At 44.9% G+C, this 27,418-nt stretch overlaps 1 long non-coding RNA gene across 1 annotated transcript in view, besides 4 other annotated features; it reads left to right on the forward strand.

Moving 5' to 3' along the window:
• USP2-AS1 (USP2 antisense RNA 1) overlaps positions 1-27,418 on the forward strand; it is a 117,456-nt gene that overhangs the window by 69,594 nt on the left and 20,444 nt on the right. Inside the window, exon 3 of the long non-coding RNA NR_034160.1 lies at positions 18,438-18,604. This is a non-coding gene — a long non-coding RNA (USP2 antisense RNA 1). The remainder of the gene's footprint in view (positions 1-18,437; positions 18,605-27,418) is intronic.
• Positions 22,047-22,547: an enhancer, noted in NCBI's record as "H3K4me1 hESC enhancer chr11:119344129-119344629 (GRCh37/hg19 assembly coordinates)". NCBI's record gives its function as "activates a minimal SCP1, AML or CMV promoter by ChIP-STARR-seq in naive and primed H9 embryonic stem cells {active_cell/tissue: H9 hESC(naive and primed)}" and the evidence as "EXISTENCE:reporter gene assay evidence [ECO:0000049][PMID:30033119]".
• Positions 23,927-24,221: an enhancer, noted in NCBI's record as "tiled region #12960; K562 Activating DNase matched - State 8:EnhW". NCBI's record gives its function as "activates a minimal TATA promoter and a strong SV40 promoter by Sharpr-MPRA in K562 cells {active_cell/tissue: K562}" and the evidence as "EXISTENCE:reporter gene assay evidence [ECO:0000049][PMID:27701403]".
• Positions 25,241-25,742: an enhancer, noted in NCBI's record as "H3K4me1 hESC enhancer chr11:119347323-119347824 (GRCh37/hg19 assembly coordinates)". NCBI's record gives its function as "activates a minimal SCP1, AML or CMV promoter by ChIP-STARR-seq in naive H9 embryonic stem cells {active_cell/tissue: H9 hESC(naive)}" and the evidence as "EXISTENCE:reporter gene assay evidence [ECO:0000049][PMID:30033119]".
• Positions 25,743-26,242: an enhancer, noted in NCBI's record as "H3K4me1 hESC enhancer chr11:119347825-119348324 (GRCh37/hg19 assembly coordinates)". NCBI's record gives its function as "activates a minimal SCP1, AML or CMV promoter by ChIP-STARR-seq in naive H9 embryonic stem cells {active_cell/tissue: H9 hESC(naive)}" and the evidence as "EXISTENCE:reporter gene assay evidence [ECO:0000049][PMID:30033119]".

The raw sequence follows: 27,418 nt of genomic DNA on the forward strand, positions 1-27,418 counted from the left end.
GTAGATAGGACTACAGGTGTGTGCCACCACGCCCAGCTAATTTTTGTATTTTTAGTAGAGATGGGATTTCACCATGTTGGCCAGGCTCGTCTTGAACTCCTGACCTCAAGTGATCCGCCGGCCTCGGCCTCCCAAAGTGCTGGGATTACAGGTGACACCGCGCCCGGCCTAGTCAATTTCATCAAATCTCAAAGAGCAAAGTACTTCAGCCAATGCCTGGATTATAACTATCATGGTAGAAACCAGGTATCCGAGCAGACTTCCCTCTGCCCAAGGGAGTCTCTGGAGGTATTATTAGGGCTACCTTGAAGAAGGAGTATGTTAGCCAGTGGAAGAGAGGATCTCTTAGAAAAGGGAAGAGGTTTTGTTACAAGGCACTGGAAGGTTTGAAACAGGGGCAACATGATTGGATCTGGGCTTTAAGAATGTGTTGAGGATTAAAGTTTTTCATGTGGATGTGAGTGTTCACATCTTCTCTCTTCTTCTGCTCACTAAGGACAATGCTGTCTTTTTCTCAAGATCTTCTCCCCTGTCCTGCCCTCTGGGGGATGGTTGTTTGCACCAGTTTGGCTCCTGGGTTTTTGTGAAGCAAAAATCTGTTGAGAGTGGCAGAAAGAGAAGGAGAGAAGCCAGGATGGGGACAGGCATTGGAAAGGGCCGAGATCCACCCATGGGAGATGTTCAGGTGTACAAGGTGACTCTCTAAGTGGTGCCCCTCTTCCTTGCCTAAATCTTGGAACAACTGAAAATTAAGACCAAAGGCTGGGTGTGGTGGCTCACGCCTGTAGTCTCAGAACTTTGGGAAGCTAAGGCCGATGGATTGCTTGAGTCCACGAGTTGAAGACCAGCCTGGGCAACATGGCGAAACCCCATCTCAAAAAAAAAAAAAAAAGACAAGGTGTCAGGCTGGATGAAGATGAACTATTTACATTATGAAGGAGCCATTGTTGGAGATTGTGACTTTTTTTTTTCTCTTTTCTATTTTTTTTAATTAAGCAAAATAATCAAAACAAAAACTCAACAAGCCTAAGGCTGAAATAGCAATAAGTCAGATTGCTGCATCAGTTCATGGATGTACCTGGGGTACATGCTCCCTCACTGTGAGGCAGGATATAGTTTCTTTTATTAACCCATGGGGCTTAGCCATTAAATCTTAGCCAAGGAGGTATCTGTCCCCTCCCTGGGGAGTTGTTCTACAGTCTTGTTTATCTTTGCATTCTCAGCACCTAGCACAGTGCCTGGCAAAATGGCAGGTACTCCGTACAAATTTATTTTGAAGGAAAGAAGAGAGGAAGGAAGGCAGACATTGCCTAAGAGAAGAGAAGGGATTAAGAGACAGCACCCTGTCATCCCTTGGCTCGGGGTTAAACTGTACTTTAACCCATATAGAGAGATGAGGGGAGAAGCCCATGTCCCTCTGGGATCTTGAGGAACGCAGACACGTCCCTCCCTTTGTTACTTCCCATGTTTTTCAAGGTGCCGATCAATTTAGTAGGTTATGACCATAATTTAAAATGAAATTGAAAATATGAAAGGGCATTATATGTAGTGAGGTAGGAATTGTTTTGTGAAAATTGCTTCGTGTGTGTTTATGTTTGTGTGTGTGTATTTGTACTGGGTTGATGTGTAAATTGTATATTTTACTATGAGTTGCAGTTAAAAATGTCAAAACAATGGACTTCTCCCATTCAGCAGGACTAAATGGCAACTTCTATCTCTTCTCCTGTAAGGGAGTGAATTATAAATAGTGGGGTACAAGTAATCAAGGGATGAAGAATAAAGAGGGCACTTTAAGCCGAAAAGAACAAGTCTGTTAGTCAACCCTTCGGGGATTGTGGTCAAGGGCTTTGTCTGGGTGGTGTTTTGTAGCCGTGCTTGTCCAAGGCTAGGAAATAAAATTACACTTGAGCAACTGGCTGCCGTGAAGTCTCCACACTATTGCCAATGCAGGAAACCCAGGAATTGTGCGAAGAGTTCAATTTTATATTTTTCCTGTGTCTGTGGAGCTGGTTCATGTAAACGGGGTGCTGGTCATTGTGGTTAATTTTAGTAACAATATTGATATTAGCAGTACTGACATTGTTGTAGATTTGAGTTCTTTCCAGTTTTCGTAGGTCTTTTACATCTGTCTTCTCATTTAATTCTACAACAACCCTGGGCATAGTCAGCCAGGGCAGGATTACTTTAGAGGAAACAGGCTCGGAGAGGGTGGTCTGTGCTCATGCAGGCCCTGCTGTGTTTCCCAGTTCTCAGCTGGGTCCTTGTGGCATTTGAGGGGGCCCAATGAATAATACCTCTTTCCATGCTGGAATTCAAAGCCTACTGAGAGACAGAAACACCAGTGAAGACAAAAATATCAGCTTAATTATGGACAAATGCTGAAATGGACCAGGATTATGACTACCAGGGTCTCTGAGAGACCCTCCTGCTCCACCACAATTCAGTCCCAGATAGGACCTAATCTTTGAGGCATCGCTGGTCTCACATAAAGAGAGGTCTTTAGGGATCCACCCTCTAAAACCAAACCAGCCAACCAATCAACCAACCAACAAATGTGAGCTGGTTCTAGAGTGGCTAGGGGCACCATTTGTGGCAGCTGGGATCTGGGATTTGATGGCTAAGAGTTGTGGAAGGAGCTCCCTTACTTCCTTCAGGGAGGGTGGGTGGCTGGGAGCAGGAAGCTGGATGGGGCAGAGAGAAGCCAGAGTGGTGGGAACTAGCCCGGATTAGCAGATATGGGGAAAGAGAGCCTGAGCCTGGGTTCTACAGCAGCATTGTTATGTGTTTACTCACATGTGGAAAAGCTTTGAGGTGGAGATACTGAGCCTGCATCCATTTTATGAGCCAAACTCTCAGTGGGGATGGAGGTGGTCTTGATCAGAGGTGTCTTTAGCAAACCCTCTCTGGAAGAAAACATTCTGAAGTCAAAGGACCCTCCCAGGTTAAGATCAAACAGTTAACTCATGAGTAAAGATTACTAAACCCATAAGAAGCCACATCACTGTGCCCAAGGGTCGGCAGAAACAATGGACGGCGATGAACAGATTCAAGGACTGCAGATGGTATTAAATATAGAACAGTTACATGGAAAATGCTTAAAGAGATTAAGATACCACTTTTTTACTGTACCTTTTCTACATTTAGATATGTTTAGATGCACAAATACTTACCACTGTGTTGCAGTTGCCCACAGTATTCAGTACAGTAACATGCGGTACAGGTTTCTAGCCTAGGAGCAATAGTTTATACAATACAGCCTAGGTTCATAGAAGGCTGTACCACCTGGGTTTGAGTGAGTACACTCTAGCATGGTCACACAATGACAAAATTCCCTAACAACACATTTCTCAAAACATATCCCTTTGTAAAGTGATGCATGACTTAACAAAGCATGACGTATTTGGAAAAAAAGAAAACACTTCTAAATGTCTCATGCATCAAGAAGAAACATTATCATAAACTTAAAAGTACTTAAAACTGAACAATAATGGAAATACTATATATAAAAACTTGTTGAATGCAGCAAAAAATGTTTTAAGGGAAATTTATAGTCTTAAATTTTTATATTAGAAAAAATGAACATTAGTATTGTGTGTCCAATCAGAGTGGTTGGAAAAAGCAAAACAGAAAAGGCCCAAAGAAAGCAGAAGGAAAGACATGGTAAAAATATAAGCAGTAATCATAAAATAGAAAACCATGATACTATAGGACTCCAGAAGGCTAAAAATAGGTTTTTAAAAAGAGTAATAAATAGACAAACAGGTCAGGTGCGGTGGCTCATGCCTGTAATCCCAGCACTTTGGGAAGCCTATGTGGGTGGATCACGAGGTCAGGAGTTTGAGACCATCCTGGCCAACATGGCCAAACCCCGTCTCTACTAAAAATACAAAAAGTAGCCGGGCATGGTGGCACATGCCTGTAATCTCAGCTACTCGGGATGCTGAGGCAGGAGAATTGCTTGAGCCCGGGAGGCAGAGGTTGCAGTGAGCCAAGATCACACCACAGCACTCCAGCCTGGGTGACAAAGCAACTCTGTCTTGGGGGAAAAAAAAAAAAAAAAAGACAAACATCTGGTGGAACTAGGAGGAGGAAAGGGAGAAAAAAGAGAGAGAGGGAGACAGAGAGAACATTAACAGTATGAGTAAAGGGATGTAACTACAGATGTAACAATGTTTAAAAAAATATACTGCCAACAAATAATACCATCAATAAATGTGATATTGGAAAAAATGGAAAAATTCCTAGAAAATGTGTAACTTACTAAAACTGTGTCAAAATAAAATAAAAATTTGGAATTTCCCTATAACATTAAAACATCAGTTCCATATGTTTTTACAAGAGAGTTCTACTACACGTAAACCAAAAAAAAAATTAATTGCATTTTATTTTAAGTTCCGGGATACATGTGCAGGATGTGCAGGTTTGTTACATAGGTAAACGTGTGCCATGGTGGTTTGCTGCACCCATCAACCCATCGCCTAGGTATTAAGCCCCATACACATTAGCTAATTATCCTGATGCTCTGCCTCCTCCTGCACCCCCAACAGGCCTCAGTGTGAGTTGCCCTCTCTGTGTCCATGGGTTCTCATTGTTCAGCTCCCACTTACAAGTGAGAACATACGGTGTTTGTTTTTCTGCTCCTGCGTTAGTTTGCTGAGGATAATGGCTTCCAGTTCCATCTGTGTCCCTGCAAAGGACATGATCTCACCCCTTTTTATGGGTACATAGTATTTCATGTGTATATGTACCACATTTCCTTTATCCAGTCTATCACTGATGGGCATTTGGGTTGATTCCATGTCTTTGCTATTGTGAGTAGTGCTGCAGTGAACATATGCGTGGATGTATTTTTAAAAGAATGATTTATATTCCTTTGGGTATATACCGTAATGGGATTGCTGGGTCAAATGGTATTTGTCTGTAGGTCTTTCAGGAATTGCCACACTGTCTTCCACAATGGTTGAACTAATTTACATTCCCACCAACAGTATAAAAGCGTTTCTATTTCTCCACAGCCTCGCCAGCATCTGTTGCTTCTTGACTTTTTAATAATCACCATTCTGACTGGCATATCCCACTTTTAAGGAAAAGGTTATAATTGCAATTTTATGCAACTCATCCAGATAGTAGAAAAAGAAGGCACATTCCCCACTTCATTCTATGAAGCTAGCATAACATGACACAAAAACCAGATAAGGACAGATGGTGTGAAATTTATACACCCATCTAAATAATAAACATACATGCAAAATTCTAAACCAAATGTTAGCAAATTGAGTAAAATAGTAATAAAAAGATAAAATTCTACAACCAAGATGTTATTTAAACAAATAAAGGAGAAAACGTTTTGATCTTCTCTACAGAGAAAAGCATTTCATAAAATTAAATACCCATTGATAAAAACTCAGTAAATAGAAATAGACTAGAATTTCTAAACCTGGAAAGAAGGATTGAGAAAAACCCTACTGATCTTTATTCCAAGTGGGAAAATGGGAGAAGCATTCCCTATAAAATTATAAAGACAAGGATACCTACTGCTACACTCCTTCCCCACATTATGTTAGACATTCTTTCTAGCACATTATATGCACGCGCATGCATGCACACACACACACACACACACACACACACACACACACACACGATCAGAAAGGAGGAAACAAAATTGTTGTTACTTCTAAGTGATATAGTTCCTATACAGGAAATCCAAAAGAATATACATGATAAATTACTTGAAATAACAGAAAATTTAGCAAGAATTTAAGATATAAAATCAATAATATACACAAGTCAACTGTGGGTCTAGATCCTAGGAACAAACAGGAAAAACAGTTAATCAATTAAAAAAGTATATTAACAACAACAAAAATCTTAAACTACGTAAGAATAGATCTCATGAAAGATATGTATGATCTGTAAGCTATGATTCCATTTATATGACATTTTGTTAAAGACCATGGTATAGGAACAGAGGACAAATATCGATCTCCTGGTATTTGGCAGGGCTGGAGTGGAGAAGGCTGACTGCACAGGGGCCTGCGATGAAGGTTTTGGGGTGATGGAAACGCTCAGCCTTGATTGCAGTGGTAGTCACATGACTGCATATATTTTCAGAATTTATAGAATGTTATACCTAAAGGGTTAATGTAAATTATGCCTCAATTAACCTGACTTAAAAAAATAAGATTATTTTGTTTGTTAAATGACAAAGTAGGCCGGGTGCAGTGGCTCACGCCTGTAATCCCAGCCGAGGGGGGTGGATAACCTGAGGTCGGGAGTTCGAGACCAGCCTTACCAACATGAAGAAACCCTGTCTCTATTAAAAATACAAAAAAATTAGCAGAGCATGGTGGCACATGCCTGTAATCCCGGCTACTCGGGAGGCTGAGGCAGGAGAATCACTTGAACCCGGGAGGGGGAGGTTCCAGTGAGCCAAGATTGTTCCACTGCACTCCAACCTGGGCAACACGTGAGAAACTCCGTCTCAAAAAAAAAAAAAAGACAAAATAATACACCCACGTTGATAGCAGCATCATTTACAATAGCTGGAGGTGGAAACAGCCCAAATGTCTGTCAACAGATGTAGTATATACATATAATGGAGTATTATTCAGCCTTATAAAGGAAGGGAATTCTGATATATGCTACAACAAGGATGAACCTTGAGGGAAATATACTAAGTGAAATGAGCTAGTTGCAAAAGGATAAATATTGTATGATTCCACTTATATGTGGTTCCTAGAGTAGTCAAATTCATAGAGACAGAAAGTAGAATGGTGGTTTCCAGGGGGATTGTGGGGAGAATGGGGAGTTAATGTGTAATTGACATGGAGTTTCTGTTTGGGAAGATGAAAAATTTCTGGAGATACATGGCGGTGATGGTCGCACAATAATATGAATGTATTTAATGTCACTGAAAATGGTTAAAATGACAAATTTTATAAAATTAAAAAAATTTAAAAATTAATTAAAAAAATAAAAATGTAAAAATCACACACAAAAAAGACAAGGCAAACCTAGACCAGGAGAAGGAGGCCATAATATATAAACTCAGCAAATGACTCATATCCAGAGTATATAAAGAACTCCCACAAATCAATAAGAAAAAGCCAAACAAACCAACTTAAAAATGGACCAAATGGCTCATGTCTGTAATCCCAGCACTTTGGGAGGCCGAGGCAGGCGGATCACGAGGTCAGGAGATTGAGACCATCCTGGCTAACACGGTGAAACCATGTCTCTACTAAAAATACAAAAAATTAGCTGGGCATGGTGGCGGGCGCCTGTAGTCCCAGCTACTCGGGAGGCTGAGGCAGGAGAATGGCGTGAACCCCGTGGGGTGGAGCCTGCAGTGAGCCGAAATTGCACCACTGCACTCCAGACCTGGGCGACAGCAAGACTACGTCTCAAAAAAAAAAAAAAAAAAAAAAAAAAAAAAAATTTGGGCCAATGGGCCAGAGAAGAATGTTCGCTCTGGCTTGTGGGTGTGACTCCCTTCAGGCCACACAGGAAGAAATTGAGAACCAAGAGCAGTCGTTGGCTCAGTCCCCACTTCCCCCTTAGCTGAGGCCTGTGTGCTGGTGGATCTGTTTGATGGGGGTCCAGGTGTTTGAAAAACAACTCAGGGACATATGTTAAGATGTTATCTTTAGTTTCTATAGGGAAGCAAACATCTGACCCTAACTTTCTTGGCTGTTGTTTTTAGTTACTATTACCTTCTTGCTTATCAAGTTGTTTATTTACATCTCAGGACTAGCTAGGTCCCTGAAGTTTCTCTTGAAGGAATTCAAGATTTTCCTTTATTTTCATGCTTGGGGGGCCTGCAGTTCCCTAAAAAAGGGGTCCTTGCTCCGTCTCAAGTGTAATAATATCTAAAGTACAGGGTCATTGGAAGATTAAATGGCATGGCATATGAGAAAGCTTTTGGCACAGTGCCTGGCATCTGGTGACCATCAATAAAATAATGTCCCTTGCATTCCCTAGCTATAAGACTGGCAGCCAGTAGGCAGAGAGAGGGGTTGGGTGAGGGTCTCTGGGCAGGAGCTGGTAGGAGGTTGTCTCTCCAGGCCTGGACAAAGGGAATGCGGGTGGATGGAGGGCTGCAGCACTGTGGGGAGGGTCACTGGCACATCAGGCAAATAAATGGATGTGGAAGCCTGGGGCACCCTCTGCATCTGAAAGGAGAGGGGAGCAGGGGGTGGATTTGAGGTCGTCCTGGGAGGTGATGACATGAGAAGTGGGTCTAGGACAAAATTCTGGAGAACAACATATTTGAGGAGCTGGCTGAAGAGAAGTCAGAAAAGGAATACAGGGAGAAGCAGGAGAGGCCACATCATGCAAGCCGAGGGCATGGCTGTGGCTGGCACCGGGCACTGCGGAGCAGTCGGCAGGAAGCTTGTGTCACTGGACCAGGCTCCAAAGGTCATGGCAGTCTTTGTGGTGCGGCTGGAAAAGCAAGGCCCAGAGGGCACTGGACAGACTGTTGAGAAGATTCAAGGTCATGGGAGGAGGACTTAAAAAATGAAGTGCTGTGTGCAGGTTCTACGCCATGGGGAAGGAGCCATTGGCTGAGAGTGGCTTTGAGGTGGGGAGAGGGAGAGGAGGGAGGCAAGAGGCAAAGGCTGAAGGTTTCGTGGGCGGGTCAGGCAGGGAGTTAGTCGGGGCTGCCTGGAGGGTCCCAGTTGTCTCTGAAGGAGGAAAGACTTGAGCTGGAGCTTGACGGAGGGAAAGCATCAAACAGACAGGCCAAAGGACATCCTGGATTAGGATGAGGAGGAAAAGGAGGGACGAGGTGTGGAGGTGGAAAATTGGCTAGAAAGGGAGGGGATGAATTGCAGAGAGATGGCCTGACAGCGCAGGATGAGCACGGTAGCGAGTGATGGAGAATAGCGTGTCGCTGGCCAGGTCTGGTCACTCCCGAAGGGCTGGGGCCTTGCAGGCCAGGAGGTGGCTCTGTGGGCCGGAGAGCCCTCCCAGCGCACTCAGGTGGGGTGGCTGCCACAGGAGATGGGCGGGGCCCCTTCTTACAGACAGAAGGCAGGGTCCGAGTTGTTCAAATGGGCCCTGATAGTTTGCTTTTCTGCCTTCTCTCTCCTTCTGGATTTGTGGTTTGTTTGTTTTGGTTTCCCCCCCACCACTTTCCCCTGCACCCCACAGTCTCTGGAGACTGAGGCAGGGTCTCCATGTTGCAGTTATATCTCGTGTATTTAATTTGGCCCCCTTAATAAACAGAGGGTGGGGCAGAGGCTGTGAGAGAAGGACAGAATTAAAACCACATCCTGGAGTAATGAGATCTCCGTTTGGCCTCCTTCCCTTCTTTTCCCACTCCCAGGCTCTGCTCCTCTACCCTCCTTTCTTGGAGAGAAACACAGCTCTGCTTGCCTAATGGAAGTCAGTGGGAAAATTCTGTTCACATTCCATATATAGTCGTCACTCAGTATGTGTGGGGGATTAGCTCCAGTACCCCTTGCAGATACCAAAATCCACAGATGTTCAAGTTCCTGATATAAAACGGTGTCGTGTTTGCATGCAACCTCCTGTATACCTTACATCACACATCCTCCTGTATACTTTAAATAATCTCTAGATTACTTAGAATACCTAATACAATATGAATGCTATGGAAATAATTGTTATACTGTATTGTTTACAGAATAATGACAAGGAAAAAAGTCTGTACATGTTCAGTACAGATGCAATTTTTTCCCAAATATTTTCAATCCTTGGTTGGTTGAATCTATGGACACAGAATCCACGGATATGGGGGCTGACTGTATAACCTTGTTGGCATAAACCCATTCCACGGTGAGAGAACTTTGAGGAGTGGAATCTGTGTATGAATATATTTATAATCATGTTTGGATGACTGCAGGCTTGCTCTTGGGCAGAGCAGAGTTGGGCTGTAAAAAAGGATGGGAAGATTTTTCCCATCAATGGAAAACTCCCTGTTTGCCCCGACCCTTAGAGAAGGGAATGGAAGAAAGCTCTGAGTGATGTGGCCTTTGGGAGACCTCATGGTAGGGAAAAGCCAGAGAGCAGATCTGAGCTGTAGGGAGATGATCTGTACAGGAACTGACTCGTAATAAAATCAAATCTCAATTCTCCAGGCTTAGCATTTACGACTCAAGATTGGATTCTGAAGTCTCATTTGTCTTCCGGGATTCTGCTCCCCTTGGCTCTCTGATACAGGGCTCTATGGCCACTCCCTGCTGGCTTTAGGTGGCTGGCCCAGCCCAGGTTTCACCTGGGATCATTGCCTCAATTTCCCTAAATACAGCTGAGTCAAGATTGGGGTACTTAACACAATATTGTTCAAGGTTCAGGAATGACAAAGGGGAAATAAACATAGGAAGTAACATGAAACCAGCCCAGGTGCCAGGGGCAAGGACAGCTGCTTCTTGTTCCCCCTCCTGCCCAGGGCTCTCTCCCTGGCTCTGGCCCATCACAGAGACCACCTTCTTCCACCTCTCTTGTCCCTGGGACATAGCTTTGCCTTGGGGGCCCCAGAGAACAATTTCCTCAGACAACATCAAATAAGCCTGTAGAAGGGAGAAACACAGACAGTGACACAAGCTTGGCTGGCCACTGCAATCCTTCTTTAGCTGTTTTCCACTCCCCAGCTTCAGTGGCACCAGAGGGTCATGAGGCCATTTGTTAGGACAAGGCATTGTTTGCATCTTGATTTTTTTTTTTTTTTTTGATACGGAGTCTTGCTCTTGTTACCCAGTCTAGAGTGCAATGACACGATCCTGGCTTACTGCAATCTCAGCCTCCTGGGTTCAAGAGATTCTTCTGCCTCAGCCTCCCAAGTAGCTGGGATTACAGGCACATGCCACCATGCCCAGCTAATTTTTGTATTTTTAGTAGAGACAGGGTTTCGCCATGTTGGCCAGGCTGGTCTCGAACTCCTAACCTCAGTTGATCCTCCTGCCTCAGCCTCCCAAAGTGCTGGGATTACAGGCTTGAGCCACCATGCCTGGCTTTTTTTTTTTTTTTTTTTTGAGACAGGGTCTCACTCTGTCACCCAAGCTGGAGTACAGTGGCACAATTTCAGCTCACTGCAACCTCTGCCTCCTGGGTTCAAGCGACTGTCCTGGCTCAGCCTTCTCAGTTGTTGCAGATGACAGGATCTCATTCTTATTTATGGCTGAAGAGTACTCCCTTGTGTATATGTGCCACATTTTCTTTATCCATTCACCTATTGATAGACACTGATATGGTTTGGCTGTGTCCTCAACCCAAATTTCATCTTGAATTGTAGCTCCCATAATTCCAATGTGTTGTGGGAGGGACCCAGTGGGAGATAATTGAATCATAGAGGTGATTTCCCCCATACTGTTCTTGTGGTAGTGAGTAAGTCTCATAAGATCTGATGGTTTTATAAGAGGAAACTCTTCTGCTTGGCTCTCTCATTCTCTCTTGTCTGCCGCCATGTAAGACATGCCATTTGCCTTCTGCCATGATTGTGAGGCCTCCCCAGCCACGTGGAACTGTGAGTCTATTAAACCTCTTTTTCTTCATAAATTACACAGTCTCAGGTATGTCTTTATCAGCAGCATGAAAATGGACTAATACAGACACTTAGGTGCTTCCAAATCTTGGCTATCATGAATAGTGCTGCAATAAACATGGGAGTGCAGATATCTCTTCAATACACTGATTTCTTTTCTTTTGGGCATATACCAGCAACGGAATTGCTAGATCATATGGTAGCTCTATTTTTAGTTTTTTGAGGAATCTCCAAACTGTTCTCCATAGTGGTTGTACTAATTTACATTCCCACCAACAGTGTACAAGGGTTCCCTTTTCTCCACAGCCTCACCAGTCATTTGTTATTGCCTGTCTTTTGGATAAAAGCCATTTTAACTGGGGTGAGATGCTATCTCATTGTAGTTTTGATTTGCATTTCTCTGATGATCAGTGATGTTGAGCACCTTTTCATATGCCTGTTTTCCATTTGCATGTCTTCTTTTGTGTGTTCAGATCTTTTGCCCATTTTAAAAACAGGATTATTAGATTTTTTTTCCTATTTAATTGTTTGAGCTCTTTATATACTTTGGTTATTGATCCCTTGTCAGGTGGATAGTTTGCAAATATTGTCTCCCATTTGGTGGGTTGTCTCTTCACTTTATTGATTGCTTCCTTTGTTGTGCAGAGCTTTTTAACTTGATATGATTTCATTTGTCCATTTTTTGCTTTGGTTGTCTGTCTGTGCTTGTGGGGTATTAAGAAATCTTTGCCCAGTCCAATGTCCTAGAGAGTTTCCCTGATGTTTTCTTATAGTGGTTTCATAGTTTGAGGTCTTAGATTTAAGTCTTTAATTCATGTTGATTTAATTTTTGTACATGGTGAGAGATAGGGGTCTAGTTTCATTCTTCTGCCTGTGGATATGCAGCTTTCCCCATACCATTTATTGAAGAGACTTCTTTCCCCAGTGTATGTTCTTGGCACCTTTGTAAAAAATGAGTTCACTGTAGATGTATGGATTTGTGTCTGGGTTCTCTATTCTGTTCCATTAGTCTATGTGTCTGTTTTTATGCCAGTACCGTGCTTTTTTGGTTACTATAGCTCTGTAGTATAATTTGAAGCCAGTAAATGTGATTCCTCCAGTTGTGTTCTTTTTGCTCAGGATGGCTTTGGCTATTCTGGGTCTTTTGTGGTTCCACATAAATTTTAGGATTTTTTTTTCTATTTCTGTGAAGAATGTCATTTTTATTTTGATAGAGATTGCATTGAATCTGTAGATTGCCTTGGCTAGTGTGGACATTTAAAAAATCTTGGCTCTTTCAACCCATGAACATGGAATATCTTTACTTTTTTTTTGGTCCTCTTCAGTTTCTTACATCAGTGTTTTATAGTTTTCATCGTAGAGATCTTTCACTTATTTGGTTATGTTTATTCCTAGATATTTTATTTGTAGCTGTAGTAAATAGGATTACTTTCTTGATTTCCTTTTCAGATTATCTACTGTTGCCATATAGAAATTCTACTGCTTTTTGTATGTTGATTTTGTGTCCTGCAACTTTACTGAGTTTATCAGTTCTAATAGTTTTTTGTAACATCTTTAGGTTTTTCCAAATATAAGATCATATTGTCTGCAAACAAGATAATTTGACTTCTTCCTTTCCAATTTGGATGCTCTTTATTTCTTTCTCTTGTCTGATTGCCCTAACTAGGACTTCCAGTACTATGTTGAATAACAGTGATGACAGTGGGCATCCTTGTCTTCTTCCAGGTCTTAGAGGAAAGGCTTTCAGTTTTCTCCCATTCAGTATGATACTAGCTGTGGGTCTGTTGTATATGGCTTTTATTGTGTTGAGGTATGTTCCTTCTATACCAATTTTTTGAGGGTTTTTATCATGAAGGGATGTTGAATTTTATCAAATGCTTTTTCACCATCAATTGAACCGATCTTATGGCTTTTGTCCTCTATTCTGTTGAAATGATGTTGTATCCCATTGATTGATTTGTGTGTGTTGAACCATCCTTGCATCTCTGTGATAAATCCCACTTGGTCATGATGAATGATTTTTAAAAATATGTTGTTGAATTTGGTTTGCTAGTATTTTGTTGAGGATTTTTTGCATCAATGTTTATCAGGGATATTGGCCCACAGTTTTCTTTTTTTGATGTGTCTTTGTCTGGTTTTGGTATCAGGATAATATAGGCCTTGTAGAATGAGTTGGAAGTATTCCCTCCTCCTCTTAGTTTTTGGAATAATTTGAGTAGTATTGTTAGTAGTTCTTTAGTTCTTTAAATGTTTGGTAAAATTCAGCATTGAAACCATTGGGTCCTGGGCTTTTATTTGATGGGAAACTGTTTATTATGGCTTTGATCTCATTACTTGCTATTGTCCTGTTTAAGTTTTGGATTTCTTCATGGCTTAATCTTGGTAGGTTGTATGTGTCTAAGAATTTATCAATTTATTCTAGGTTTTCCATTTTATTGGCAATTTATTGGTAGGCTTTCTTATTTATTAGTAGCCTCTAATTTAAATCCTCTGAATTTCTGTGGTATAAGTTGTAATGTCTCCTTTTTCAGCTCTGATTTTTATTTATTTGAATCCTCTCTCTTTTTTTCTTAGGCTAAAGATTTGTCACTTTTTTATCATTTCAAAAACCAATGTCTGTTTCTTTGATCTTTTGTATTTTTTCATTTCAGTTTCATTTATTTTTGCTCTGATCTTTATTATTTCTTTTCTTCTACTAATTTTGGGTTTGGTTTACTCTTGCTTTTCTATTTCTTTAAGATGCATTGTTAGGTTGTTTATTTGAAATCTTTCTACTTTTTTGATGTAGGCGATTATTTCTATAAACTTTCTTCTTAGTACTCCTTTTGCTGTACCCCATAGGTTTTGGTATGCTGTGTTTCCATTTCCATTTGTTTCAAGAAATTTTTAAATTTTCTTCTTAATTTCTTCATTAACCCACTTCATTCAGGAATGTACTGTTTAATTTCCATGTGTTGGTATAGTTTTCTAAATTTTTCTTTTTTTGGTTTCTAGTTTTATTCCATCATGGTCAGAGAAGATACTTGATATTCTTTTTTTTTTTTTTAATTTTAAGACTTGTTTTGTGGCCTAATATATGGTCTATCCTTGAGAATGATGCAGGTGCTGAAGAGAAGAATGTGCATTCTGTAGCCATTGGATGAAATATTCTATAAATATCTATTGGGCCCATTTGGCATATAGTGCAGATTAAATCTGATGCTTCTTTGTTGATTTTCTGTCTAGATGATCTGTCCAACACTGAAAGTGGGGTGCTGAAGCCTATTATTGTATTAAAGTCTATCTCTCTCTTTAGCTCTGATAATATTTTCATTATATATCTGGGTGCTCCAATGTTGGGTGCATATATATTTACAGTTGTTATATCCTTTTGCTGAATTGATCCCTTTATCATTATATAATGACCTTTTTTTAATCTCTTTTTATAGTTTTTGTCTTGAAATCTGTTTGGTCTGATAAAAGTATAGATAATCCTGCTCTTTTTTCAGTTTCCATTTGCGTGGAATGTCTTTTTCCATTCATCTTTTTATTTTCAGTCTATGTGTCTTTATCAGTGAAGCATGTTTCTTGTAGGCAACAGATCACTGGGTCTTGTTTTATTCATTCAACCACACTGTGTCTTGATTGGAGAGTTTAGTTCATTTACATTCGATGTTATTATTGATAAGTAAGGACTTACTTCTGCTATTTTGTCATTTGTTGTCTCTTATTTTTGGTGATCTTCTTGTCTTTATTCCCTTCTTTCCTGTCTTCCCTTTAGTGAAGGTGATTTTCTCAAATGGTGTGTTTTAATTTCATGCCTTTTATTTTTTGTTTATCTGTTGTAATGTTTTTTGAGTTTACCATGCGGTTTGCAAATGGTATCTTATGACATGTTATTTTAAGCTGATGACAACTTAATACTAATTGCATAAACAAACAAACAAGCAAGCAAAGACAAAACTAATACAAATTCTACATTTTAACTTCATCCCCCTGATTTTTTTAAATTTTTGTTGTTTATATTTATGTTATTGTACTGCCTATGTCTTAAGAAGTTGTAGTTATTATTCTTGATAGGTTTATTTTTTAGTCTTTCTACTTAAGATATAAGTAGTTTACACACCGCAAGTACAGTGTTATAATATTTTATGTTTCTCTGTGTACTTACTATTACCAGTTTTTTTCCTTCGGATGATTTATTGTTAATTAACATTCTCTTTTTTCATGTTGAAGAACTACCTTCAGTGTTTCTTGTAGGACAGGTCCGCTCTTGATGAAATCCCTCAGCTTTTTTTTGTCTGGGAAAGTCTTTATTTCTCCTTCATGTTTGAAGGATATTTTCACCAGATATACTATTCTAGGGTAACAGTTTTTTCTTTCAGCACTTTAAATATGTCATGACACTCTCCCCTGGCCTGTAAGGTTTCCACTGAGAAATCTTCTGCCAGATGTGGAGCTCAATTGTATGTTATTTATTTCTTTTTTCTTGCTGCTTTAGGATTCTTTCTTTATTCTTGACCTTTGGGAATTTGATTATTAAATACCTTGAGGTAGTCTTATTTGAATTAAATCTGCTTAGTGTTCTATAACCTTCTTGTACTTGAATATTGATATTTTTCTATAGGTTTGGAAAGTTCTCTGTTATTATCCTTTTGAATAAATTTTCTACCCCAGTCTTTCTCTCTACTTCTTCTTTGAGGCCAATAACTCTTAGATTTGTCTTTTTGAGGCTATTTTCTATATCTTTTGTGTTTGCTTCATTCTTTTTTATTCTTTTTTCTTTTGTTTCCAATGTGTGTTTTCAAATAGACTGTCTTGAAGCTCACTAATTCTTTCTTCTACTTGATCAGTTCTGCTGTTGAGAGACTCTGATGCATTCTTCAATATGTCAATTGCATTGTTCAGCTCCAGAATTTCTTCTTGATTCTTTTAAGTTATTTCAACCTCTTTGTTAAATTTATCTGATAGTATTCTGAATTCCTTCTCTGTGTTATCTTGGATTTCATTGAGCTTCCTTGAAACAGCAATTTTGAATTCTTTGTCTGAAAGGTCACATATCTCTATTTCTCCAGGATTGGTTCCTGGTGTCTTACTTAGTTCATTTGGTGAGGTCATGTTTTCCTGGATGGTGTTGATGCTCGTGGATGTTTGTCAGTGTCTGGGCATTAAAGAGTTAGGTATTTATTGTAGTCTTCACAGTCTGTACTTGTTTGTACCCATCCTTCTTGGACAGGCTTTCCAAATATTCAGAGGGATTGTATGTTGTGATCTAAGTCTTTGGTCACTGCTGCCATATCTGCTTTAAAGGGCACCCCAAGCCCAATAATGCTGTAGCTCTTGCACTAGTAGAAGTACTGCCTTAGTGATCTTGGGTAAGATCCAGAAGAATTCCCTGGATTACCAGGCAGAGACTCTTGTTCTCTTCCCTTACTTTCCCCCAAACAAACAGAGTCTCTATCTCTGTGCTGAGCTCCCTGGAGCTGAGAGAGGGGTGACACAAGTACCCCTTTAGCCACCACCACTGGGACTGCACTGGGTCAGACCCAAAGCCTGGACAGCAACTGAGTCTCACCCAAGGCATGCATTGACCACTGCCTGGCTACCACCTATGTTCACTGAAGGCCCAAGAATCCCTACAGTTAGCAGGTGGCATATTGAGCCAGGCTTATGTCCTTTCCTTCAGGGCAGTGAGTCCTCCTGGCCCCAGGGGGGTCCAGAGATGCCATCCAGGAGCCAGGGCTGGAGTCAGGAACCTTAGGAATCTACCTGATGCTCTATTCAACTGTGGCTGAGCTGGCACCCAAGCCACAAGACAGAGAATCCTTCCCACTCTTCCCTCCCCTTTCCTCAAGTACAGGGGTCTCTCCCCGTAACCACTGCCACCCCAGGCCTGTGGTAAATAGTGCCTGGCTATGTTCAGTCGAGGCCCAGGCTTCTTCATTCAGCTTGTGGTGAATGCTGCCTGTTCCTAGTCCCTCCCTTCCAGGCAGCAGGCTTCCCTCTGGCCCAGAGCAGGTCCAGAAATGCCATCAAGGAGCCACAGTCTAGAACTGGGGACCCAGGAGCCCATTTGATGCTGTACCCTACTTGGGCCTAGCTGGTACCAGGTTCTTAGGATTTTTGTTCTTATTAAGGTGCTTTTCTGTGTGGACAGTTGTTTAATTTGGTGTTCCTGCAGGGGGACGAACGCTGGAGGCTTCTATTCAGCCATCTTGCTCTGCCTCCCCTCATTGTCTTTTCTTGTCTTTTTCTTTTTTTCTGAGATGTGGTCTTACTCTGTCACCCAGACAGGAGTGTAGTGGTGTGATCACAGCTCACTGCAGCCTCCACCTCCTGGGCTCAAGTGATCCTCCCATCTCAGCCCACCAAGCAGCTGGGATCACAGGTGTGTGCCACCATGCCTGACTAAGTTTTTGTGTGTGTGTGTGTGTGGAGATGAGGTCTTGCCATGTTGCCCAGGCTGGTCTCATACTTCTGGGCTCAAGTGATCCTCCCACCTTGGCCTCCCAAAGTGTTGGGATTATAGGTGTAAGCCACTGTGCCTGGGTCCATTGTGCCTTTCAATGACATATTTTAAAAAGTTTCCTGGCAGGTCCTTGGTTAAGGCTTCCTTCCGGGAGTTGCTCTTTCCATAAATCATGGTAAGGAGGTTGTGCCCTCAGAAGCTGAGCCCACCCCGGCCCTCCTGGGCATGTGGAGAGCAAAGCCTCCTCTGCTGAGGAGTGAAGCCAGTTCCCTCAGGGCTGAGGGAGGACTGGAGAGATGCATGTTTTAGAGCAAGGGCGTAGTCTGTCCCTTTGGGCTTCTCAGAAGGCCATGATCACAGTGGCTGTTTTCTGGCCCCTGGGTCTCCCCTTGAGCTGAGGAGGAGATATGTCCACCTGGTTAGGCTTGGAGATTCATGGCTTGGTCCTTGGATTTTTGAGGGTCTTATTTATTTTCTCAGGCCAAGTTCCCACCTGGTGGGAAGCACTGTGCAGGTTCGTGGGGATGCAGCCCTGCACAGCCCAGACTGGACTCCTTCCCCATGGAACTCACAACACACGGGAGAGGCAGAGAGATCCAAGCGCACAGAAAAACACAAGAAGATTCAGCCCTGTCATCTTGTGCAAAGTGAGTTCCACATAATTCAATTATAAAATGAGAGATTGTGTTTCTGTGAGCTTCATAAAAATGAATTATTTCTCTGTCACAAAAAGTAAAGACAGTACAAACGACACTGTGCATCATAGTCCTTACACTGAATTGAGAACATCTCAAATGGTCCTGAGGCCACCAGTTTCTGGACACCGCATCTCCTCTCCGAAGACATGAGCTAGGGCTTTGCGTCATCTAGACCAGGACTGGATGCTGGCTATGGGAACAGCATGTGCAAAGGCCTGGAGCCCCATCTGTGTCTAGCCTGATGGGTGCCAGATGAGGAAGCCAGGACCACGAGCATCTCCTGGGCAAGGCTGCTCTTCCCGGGTAGCCCCAGCACCCAGCCTGGTGTCAACACACAGTAGGGCTCACAGGTATTTCCAGACTGATGGAAGCTCTAAGGGGAGGTGCTCAGGGCCCAGGAGGCAGGGCTGGCCTGGGAAACATCACTGCACTCCTTCCTGGCAGCATCTTCCTTTGTGCCTTGGCAGATGTTCCAGGAAAGCTGGCCCACGCCCTTCCCGCAAGCCTTAAGACGGCTGCCTTTTGCCTGCATTTAAATGCAGTGTACCAAATGTCAGTTGGCCACTGACTCATAAGCTTTCTGAGGCCACACATGCCTTTGAAATGCTTCAGAGAGCACTTCTTACAGAAAATCCATATACTGCACCCACCCAATTAGATATGGAGTGTTCTGGGGTCCTCTCCGCTGGCCTGCCTGCGAGGCGGCCCATTTGTAGAGCTCAGAGACCCCGGCTCCCACCCCGCCTGGCCCCTCTCCCTCCAGACTCTCTGATGCCTGCAGCGTCAGGTGTCCCAGCCTCCCCTGGGAGATCTCCTGACCAGGCTCTGCCTCTCTCCTGTGCCCACAGCTGGGCCGGGGACAGCCTGTTCCCAGCAGACAGTCAGACCAGCCCCACTTGGTAACTCAGACTCCTAGACCCCAAACCTGAGGGGCTGCTGTGATGGCCCCCCCAATAGCTCTCCCTGTCCCTCCCTGGCTCTTCCTCCTCTGAGAGGCCTGGGAAGGTTCAGAGGCTCCAGATGCTGGAACACCCGTTTCCCTGCAGAGGCTCAGCCAGCCTCGCTCTTCCCTTCTCTGTGATCCCTGTGGTCCCACCCAGCTTGCTGGCTTCTAGTGAGCCAGCCCCGCTCTCCCCTTCTCTGTAATCCCTGTTGTCCCACCCAGCTTGCTGGCTTCTAATGTCACGAATGCCTCTGCTTTCACTCCATCTCCCACCTTTGCTTTCTAGTCTGCACTGATCATGACATTTCCACCATCTCTTGCTAGAACCCTGGACTCCCTTACCCCTCTGCCTTGCTCCTGCCCGGTGAACCCCTAGCCCTAGATGGCCCCAAGACAGTGTCCTCCCCAGCAACAAGTCTAGCTGTTCTCCCTGCACTTCCCTCCCCGTCCGCTGTGCTCCCATGTCCCCTTTCCTCCCTCACTCCCAGGCTGTCTTCCATTTCCCAGGGACTAAGGGAGGTGAGAGGGACAGTGGCACTCTGAAAAAAGATCAGAGGCAGCAGGGGGCCGGGGGAGGAAGAGACTCTGAAAGTGAGCAGTACTCAGCCATACCCAGCAGGACTCAGGGTACTCAGTTGTATTCAGCAGGACTCAGGGTGCCCAGCACACCCAGCAGGTCTCAGGGTTCTCGGCTGTACCCAGCAGGTCTCAGGGTTCTCGGCTGTACCCAGCAGGTCTCGGGGTTCTCGGCTGTACCAAGCAGGTCTCAAGGTTCTCGGCTGTACCAAGCTGGTCTCAGGTTTCTTGGCTGTACCCGGCAGGTCTCAGGTGCCCGGGTGTACCCGGCAGGACTCAGGGCACCCAGCCATACCCGGCGGTACTTTAGAAATACTCAGTAGTACTTAGGGTGCTCTAGTGTGGACTTTGTCCCTCCAGTGCCTTGGGCTGAATTGGGTCCTCACAAAATTCACATATTGAAGTCCCAACCCCTAGCCAGGACATCAGAATATGATTGTACAGTTAACCCTTGAACAACAAGGGGTCAAGGGCACCGACCCCCTCGTAGCCAAGACTCACATATGACTTTTGACTCCCCCCAAACTTAACTACAAATAGCCTACTGTCGCCTGGAAGCCTTACCAATGACAAACAGTTGAACACATATTATGTATGGTATATGTATTATGTACTGTATTCCTACAACAAAGTAAGCTAAAGAAAATGTTATTAAAAGAAACAAAAGGAAGAGAAAATCTATGTATTAGTCATTAAGTGGAAGTAGATCCTCATCAAGGTCTCCATCCTCCCTGTCTTCATGCTGAGTAGGCTGTGGAGGGGGTGGTGGGGGTGGGTCTTGCTGTCTCAGAGGCAGAAGAAAATCCGCATGTAAGTGGACTCACAAAGTTCAAACACATGTTGTTTCATAATCGCCTGTATTTGCAGACAGGGCCTTTACCGAGGTAATTAGGTTACCATGAGGTCATATGGGTGGGCCTTAATCCAATATGACCAGTGTTCTTATGAGAAGAGGAAACGAGGGCATAGATTTGCACAGAGGAAAGTCTGGGTGAAGGCGCAGGGGAAGGCGCTTCTGCAAGGCAAGGAGAGAGGCCTCAGAAGAAACCAGTCGCGAGGATGCCTTGATGTCAGACTTAACTTCCAGCCTCCAGAACTGTGAGGACATTTTTGCTGAGGCCTCCCAGTCAGTGGTGCTGTGAGCTGGAAGAAACCTTGGAGGTCATCTCATGATCCATCCACTTCTGTTTACTGATGGGCAGATGAGGCCAAGAGCAGGAGTGCAGGGCCACAAAACGAGTCAAAGACAGCGCTCCCAGGCCAAGGATGGCTTCTTAGCCTGGCAGATGCCAGGACTGAGGTGCTGGAACAAGAGAAGCTGGGGGAGAGACAGGTGGGGTGCAGGTGGGAGGAGGGGGCACCCTGTCCTGGGGCAGGGCAGGTACAGTGTGCTCAGGGGAGGAGGAATCTGAGGGAGCGCAGTTCGAGCTGCCCACGTGTGCGTGTGTGCGTGTGCGCGTGCACAAGTGCGTGCTGGTGGTGTCGGGAGGGAAGGCAGGGAACAAGCGTTGTCTCTGCCTCCAGGAAGATGTGGTTGGCGGGGGTGGAAAGTGGCCTCTGGAGGTTTGACCAAGTTGCCTCCGGTGGCTCGTGTCTGTAATCCCAGCACTTTGGGAGGCCGAGGTGGGAGGATTGCTTGAGCCCAGGAGTTCAAGACCAGACTGAGCAATATAATGAGACCCTGCCTCTACAAAAAAATTAAAAATTAGCCAAGTGTTGTGGCACACGCCTGTGGTCTCAACTACCCGGAAGGCTGAGGTGGGAGGATTGCTTGAACTTTGGAAGTGGAAGGAGGTTGCAGTGAGCCGAGATGGCGCCACTGCATTCCAGCCTGGGTGACGAGCCTGTACTTCAGCCTGCACTCCAGCCTGGGCAAGACCCGACCCCCCACCCCTGCCAAAAAAAAGACTACTCTGGCTGCAGTGTGGAGGGCACCAGTAAAAACAGAGCAGCACCACTCTCAGCCTCATCTCATCTCCCTGAGCCACACTTCACATGGAGGCGAAGGGTGATGGCAGCATGGCTCAGGGAGGTGAGATGGCGCTGAGTGGTGCTAGGATCCGAGATCCAGGGTGAGGGCAGAGTGAGCAGGAGGGGGAGGCTGATTGAATTGGGTGCAGTGGAGGCTGGTGAGGGCCACTGACAGCAGGTGGATGGACTAGTCTGGAACCCAGAAGAAAGATCTGGGCAAGGACTTAATTTGAGAATTAAGGCTAGGTTATAGGAGCAGATGTGGCTAAGGGAATACATGCAGAGGAAAAAGAGAAGAGGCCTGAAATGGAACCCCTAGAAACACCTACATTTATAGGATAGCCTTTAGAGAAGGAGCCTCTCTGAGTTTTCTCATCTGTAAAGTGGGTATAACTATGCAGGCCGTTGTAAGGATTAGAGAAGCTGATGTATATAGTGTTGGTGCTCCATTGATGGGACAGTCACATGCCACTGAACGTCAGGGACACATTCTGAGAAATGCATTATAAGACTGTTTCGTCATTGTGGGGACATCGTAGACTGTGTTCACACAAGCCTAGGTGGTACAGCCTGCTTCGCACCTAGGCCACATGATAGAGCCTGTTGTTTCTAGGATACACACCTGTACAGCATGTGACTGTACTGAACAGTGTAGGTGACTGTAACACAATGGCAAATATTTGGGCATCTAAACACAGAAAAGGTAGAGCAAAAATACGGTATTATAATCTGATGAGATCACCACCCTATGATGTGCACGACTGGGTTTGTAACTATGACATGGTCCGCATCGCTCTTCCTCCTGTGCTACATTGTCTGTTCCAGAGCTATAGCCTGAGGACTGGGCTTCATTGCTGAATGCAGTCCTGTATCCAGACATTTGGTTCTGTTAATGCAGCCCAAAGCTGCACTTGGCTGCTGCTGAGCATGGGGTCAGCCAAGACCCCTGGATCTATGTGAAGCACGCCTTGCACCCAAGAACCCATGAGACCCTCGTCATGGACCAGGCCCCATGGCAGGAGCTAAGGGCAATTCTCAGACCTAGAATCCTCACTTGCCTTTTTCAGGCAAAGACAGGGAATTGATGGGCATCCTGAGCCTCCGTCCTTCAGTGCTCTGGGAGCCCAGGCAGCTGTCAGGAAAGGGACAAGGCCAGGGACTGGGAATGTGGAGGGAAGGGGCAGGTTTGAGGAGATCCTGGGTGATGAGAGAGGGACTCTCCAGGCTAGGGCATAGATGCCCTGGGTCCCCCTATCCCAGCCTCTTACATCTCTCAGTGAAGCCATGTCCGCTGCCCATGACAGGGAGTCTGGCTGTAACCATCTTTTGGAAGCTGGATGCCGGGCTAGTGGCAGTGGTTGGAGCAATGCTACCTCCTAGTGGTCTGATCTGCAAGTGCAGTCAATGGATGTGCCAGAGATCTCAGAGCTGCCCTCTGGGACCCCCACCCCACCTCTCCTGGGGTCACAGACTGCCTTTTGGTCAGCCTGTCTTAGTCTTGTCTGTAGCCACCTGTCAGCCTGCCTCCAGCTGTTTTTACCTCAGCATGTCCCTTCCGTTCTGGCTCATGTTAGCCGTCGCTCTGTGGCATATCTCTCTTACTCTGTCTGCCCTGCTGGCTTGGGCTGTCCGTTCCTCCATGTCTCATTCCATCAGTTTTCACCTCACCCTCTGCTGGGCCCTGGCTCTCTATTCTGCTTCTCACTTGTTTTGGACTTCTCCCTGCCCCCTATACCCTGTCCCTGTGTCCCCGAGCTGGGGTCATGCCTGGGGTCATGTCTGCCCTCTTCTTAACATTGAAGCTGGTTCTTGAGAAATACAGAGGCTTTTCTGCTTTTTCCAGGATGAGTCAGGAACTCCTGGAGTGAGAAGGGCTCAGGCCTCACCCAGCAGTGACCTCAGAGAGGGTGTGCAAGGTCAGAAGAGCCTCCAGCTGAGCTCAGCACTGTGACAACAGACTTTCCAAAATATGCTTAAGGGTCTGGCCGGGGCTGGACATGCTCCAGCAGGTGTCAGGGAAGAAGAATGAGCAAGCTGGCTGAGTCTGAGCCTGGCCCCGCCTAATGTTGTCTCCTCCCTGAAGCCTCCCCTCCCTTCTGTGCTACCACAGTTCTTAGGTCTGTGGCGTCCTGAAGCCACTGGTGCCATGTGATGGTTTGCATTTCAATTAATTAAAATTACATGAAATGAAAGACTCAGTTCCTCAGTCACACTAGCCACATTTCAGATGCTGAATGTCCACACATGGCTAATGGCTGTTGACCATATTGAGTAGCACAGAAGAGAACATTAGCCGCATCACGGAAAGTTCCATTAGTCAGCACCTTCTTAGAATAATCTTTGGAAAACATCCCTTTCTTCTTTTACTTTCCTACCCTCAGAGGGAGGATAGGATCATAATGTGTCCATCTCAGGATCCCTAGGGTCCAGCATGTCACGTTATATACATTTGTTGGCTGGTTGGCTAGATGGATATATGGATGGATGGGTGAAGGGAGGGAGGGAGAGAGGGATGGGTATATGGGTGGATAGATGGGTGGGTAGATAAGTAGATGGATGATGGATGGATGGATATATAGATGAATAGATGGATGGTGGGTGGGTGGGTGGAAAGATGGGTAGGTAGACGAATAGATGGATGAATGATGGATAGTGGGTGGGTGGAAAGATGGGTAGGTAGATGAATAGATGGATGAATGATGGATAATGGATGGATATATAGATGGATGGATATATAGGTGGATGAGTGGGTGGATGAGTGGGTGGATATACGGATGGATGGATGGGTGGATGGGTGGATGGTTGGATAAATGAATGGATAGATGGATGGATGAGTGGATGGATGGTTGGGTGGGTGGCTGGACATGTGGCTGAGTAGATGAATGGATGGATGGATATATGGATGGATGGATGGATAGATGGAAGCTTGAATTCCCAAATTTCTATGCCATGGAAGTCACAGGGGGACCAAGGAAGTGGGCAGAGTTGCCTCTGAACTGGCCAGGTGAGCTGGTCTGTGGAGATGTTGCTCTGCTCCAGGTTCTGCAAATGAACAGAGGGGCTTTGATGACCCTCAGCCTGAAAACTTGAACTTGTGAGTAGCTCTCAGGGGACTTAGAGCTACAAGAGCTTGGGGGTTTCTGCAGGTAAAGCGAAGGACTGAAGGGTCAGCTGTGGGGACTTCCTGTTTCAGGGTGAGCACCTAGCTGTGTCTAGGGTGGAAGTAGCCAAGGTGGCTGGGAGTGGATGAGCTGGAGGAAGGGTAGCCAGATCCAGGCCTCAGGGATGGGCTGTCTGGGCTCACCCTTCTGCAGCTTGAACCCCAAGGAGTGGGGCCAGGTTCTGGGAGAGGGATGGGGCAGCTGCAAGGCTTGAGTCCAGCTCAGTCAAGGGCAGACAGGAGTTGAGGCCAACCTGGGAGGAACCCTTCCCAACACAAACCGTTACCAGCAGCTGGACCTGGACAGCCAGGGCGGTAGTGGTCTGACCCAGAGCAGGAGTCTGATCCAGCAGGAGCAGGAGCTCAGTGGCAGCCTCTGTTCTATCCCCATGGGCTGCTCTCCACTCAGTACTCCGGAAGGCTCCTGAGCAAACTTGCTGCCTTGTTTGGACTGCTCTGAAGGGGAAAGGATCTGCTCATCCCTGGGCGGGAGAGAGGGTGGTGCACGCCACAGTTAATTCAACAGACACTTGCTGAGCACTCACTGGCTGCCAGGCGTGTGTCAGCGCGGGGGGTCTGTGTTGAGGATGCCACAGTCTTGCCCTGGAGAGTACCTGACCCTAGCAGACGTCAGGTGACCCAGAGCCACAGAAGAGCAGAGGAAGGAATGAAGAGGGCGGGACTGTGGCTTCGCAGGGGCACGGCTTGCAGAGGTCAGTGTGCCGATTCTGCAGCCTCACTGTGCAGGTTCCACTTACAGATAGATGGTAGTAGCATCACGGGCAAATTACTTGGCCTTTTGTGACTCCTATTTGTTTGTTTGTGTTTTTGAAATCTACAATGCAGGATAGTAAAGTAATAGTGTGGAACCCATAGAACTGTTGTGAGTTCATTCATGAGAAGTGTTCAGAATGGTGCCTGGTACACAGCAAGCATTATATAAACCCATGCTATTAGCATTACGGAGCTACCTCTCTCCGCTTTGGTTCTACTGGATTGATCAGACACCTTCTTCCCCAGGGAGGTAGCTGGAGGGGAGCAGTGGTGGTGTGAGGGGAGGAGAAAAAGTGGAGGTTTGGGTGCTGCAAGTGTTCCTGCTTTTCTGAACCTCATCCCTTGTCTGGGGGTGAAGAGAGGTGGGCAAAGGGAAAGCCCAGGTGTCAGGACCCGCCATGATCTCCAGGGACCAATGCACAGCATTGTCTGGGCTAGGGAGGATGCTGGCCTTCCAGGGTCCTCTAGTCCAGAGAGGGAAAGAAGCGCAAGAGGGCACAATGAGCTCTTTCCTTTTTATTTTATTTTATTTTATTTTATTTTATTTTTTAGAAAGGGTCTCCTTCTGTTGCCCAGGTTGGAATGCAGTGGTGTGATCACAGCTCACAGCAGCCTCAAACTCTTGGGTTCAAGCGATCCTCCTGCCTCAGCCTCCCAAAGTGCTGGGATTACAGGCATGTGCCACTGAGCTCAGCCTTCTTTCCTGTTTAAATTTCCAAAGCATATATGCTCCATGTTACATGTTCAAAAAGCATAGTTCAAAAAACATAAAAAGCACAAAATGAAAGCCTCCCTCTGAAATCCCTTCTGCCTCATCAACCCCCTCAACCCTTCCTGCAAAACCTAGTTCTTGAGATTAAACACCATTAATAATTTAGAGTGCATCCTTTCCAGGCCTTATGTATATTTTAATAATCTAAACACACACATGCATACATACCATTTTGTATAAAAAGAAAGGAAAGAAAATTATATAATATTACACACATTATTCTGCAACCTGATTTTCCACCCATGATATGCCATGGAAATCCTTTCATGTTAGTACGTCTGGACCACTTCATGGCTTTTACTGCTTCAGAGTATTCTATCGTGTGGATGTATTATAATTTTTAAAAACCACTTACCCAGTAATGGACACTTAGGTGGTTTCCCATCTTTTGAGATTGCTAACAATTCTGCTGTGAGCATCCCTGCATATGCAGCTGTGTCTGCATGCAAGTGTTTCTGAGACTGAATTCCCCAAGAGGAATTGCAGAGTGACAGGGAATGTGCATTTTAAAAGGTGATGGGTAGTAGGTAGGCATATTTTTAGGGTTTGTATCAAACTCCCATGGGA

This window comes from Homo sapiens, chromosome 11 (assembly GCF_000001405.40).
Source record: "Homo sapiens chromosome 11, GRCh38.p14 Primary Assembly".
NCBI classification, from domain to species: Eukaryota; Metazoa; Chordata; class Mammalia; order Primates; family Hominidae; genus Homo; species Homo sapiens.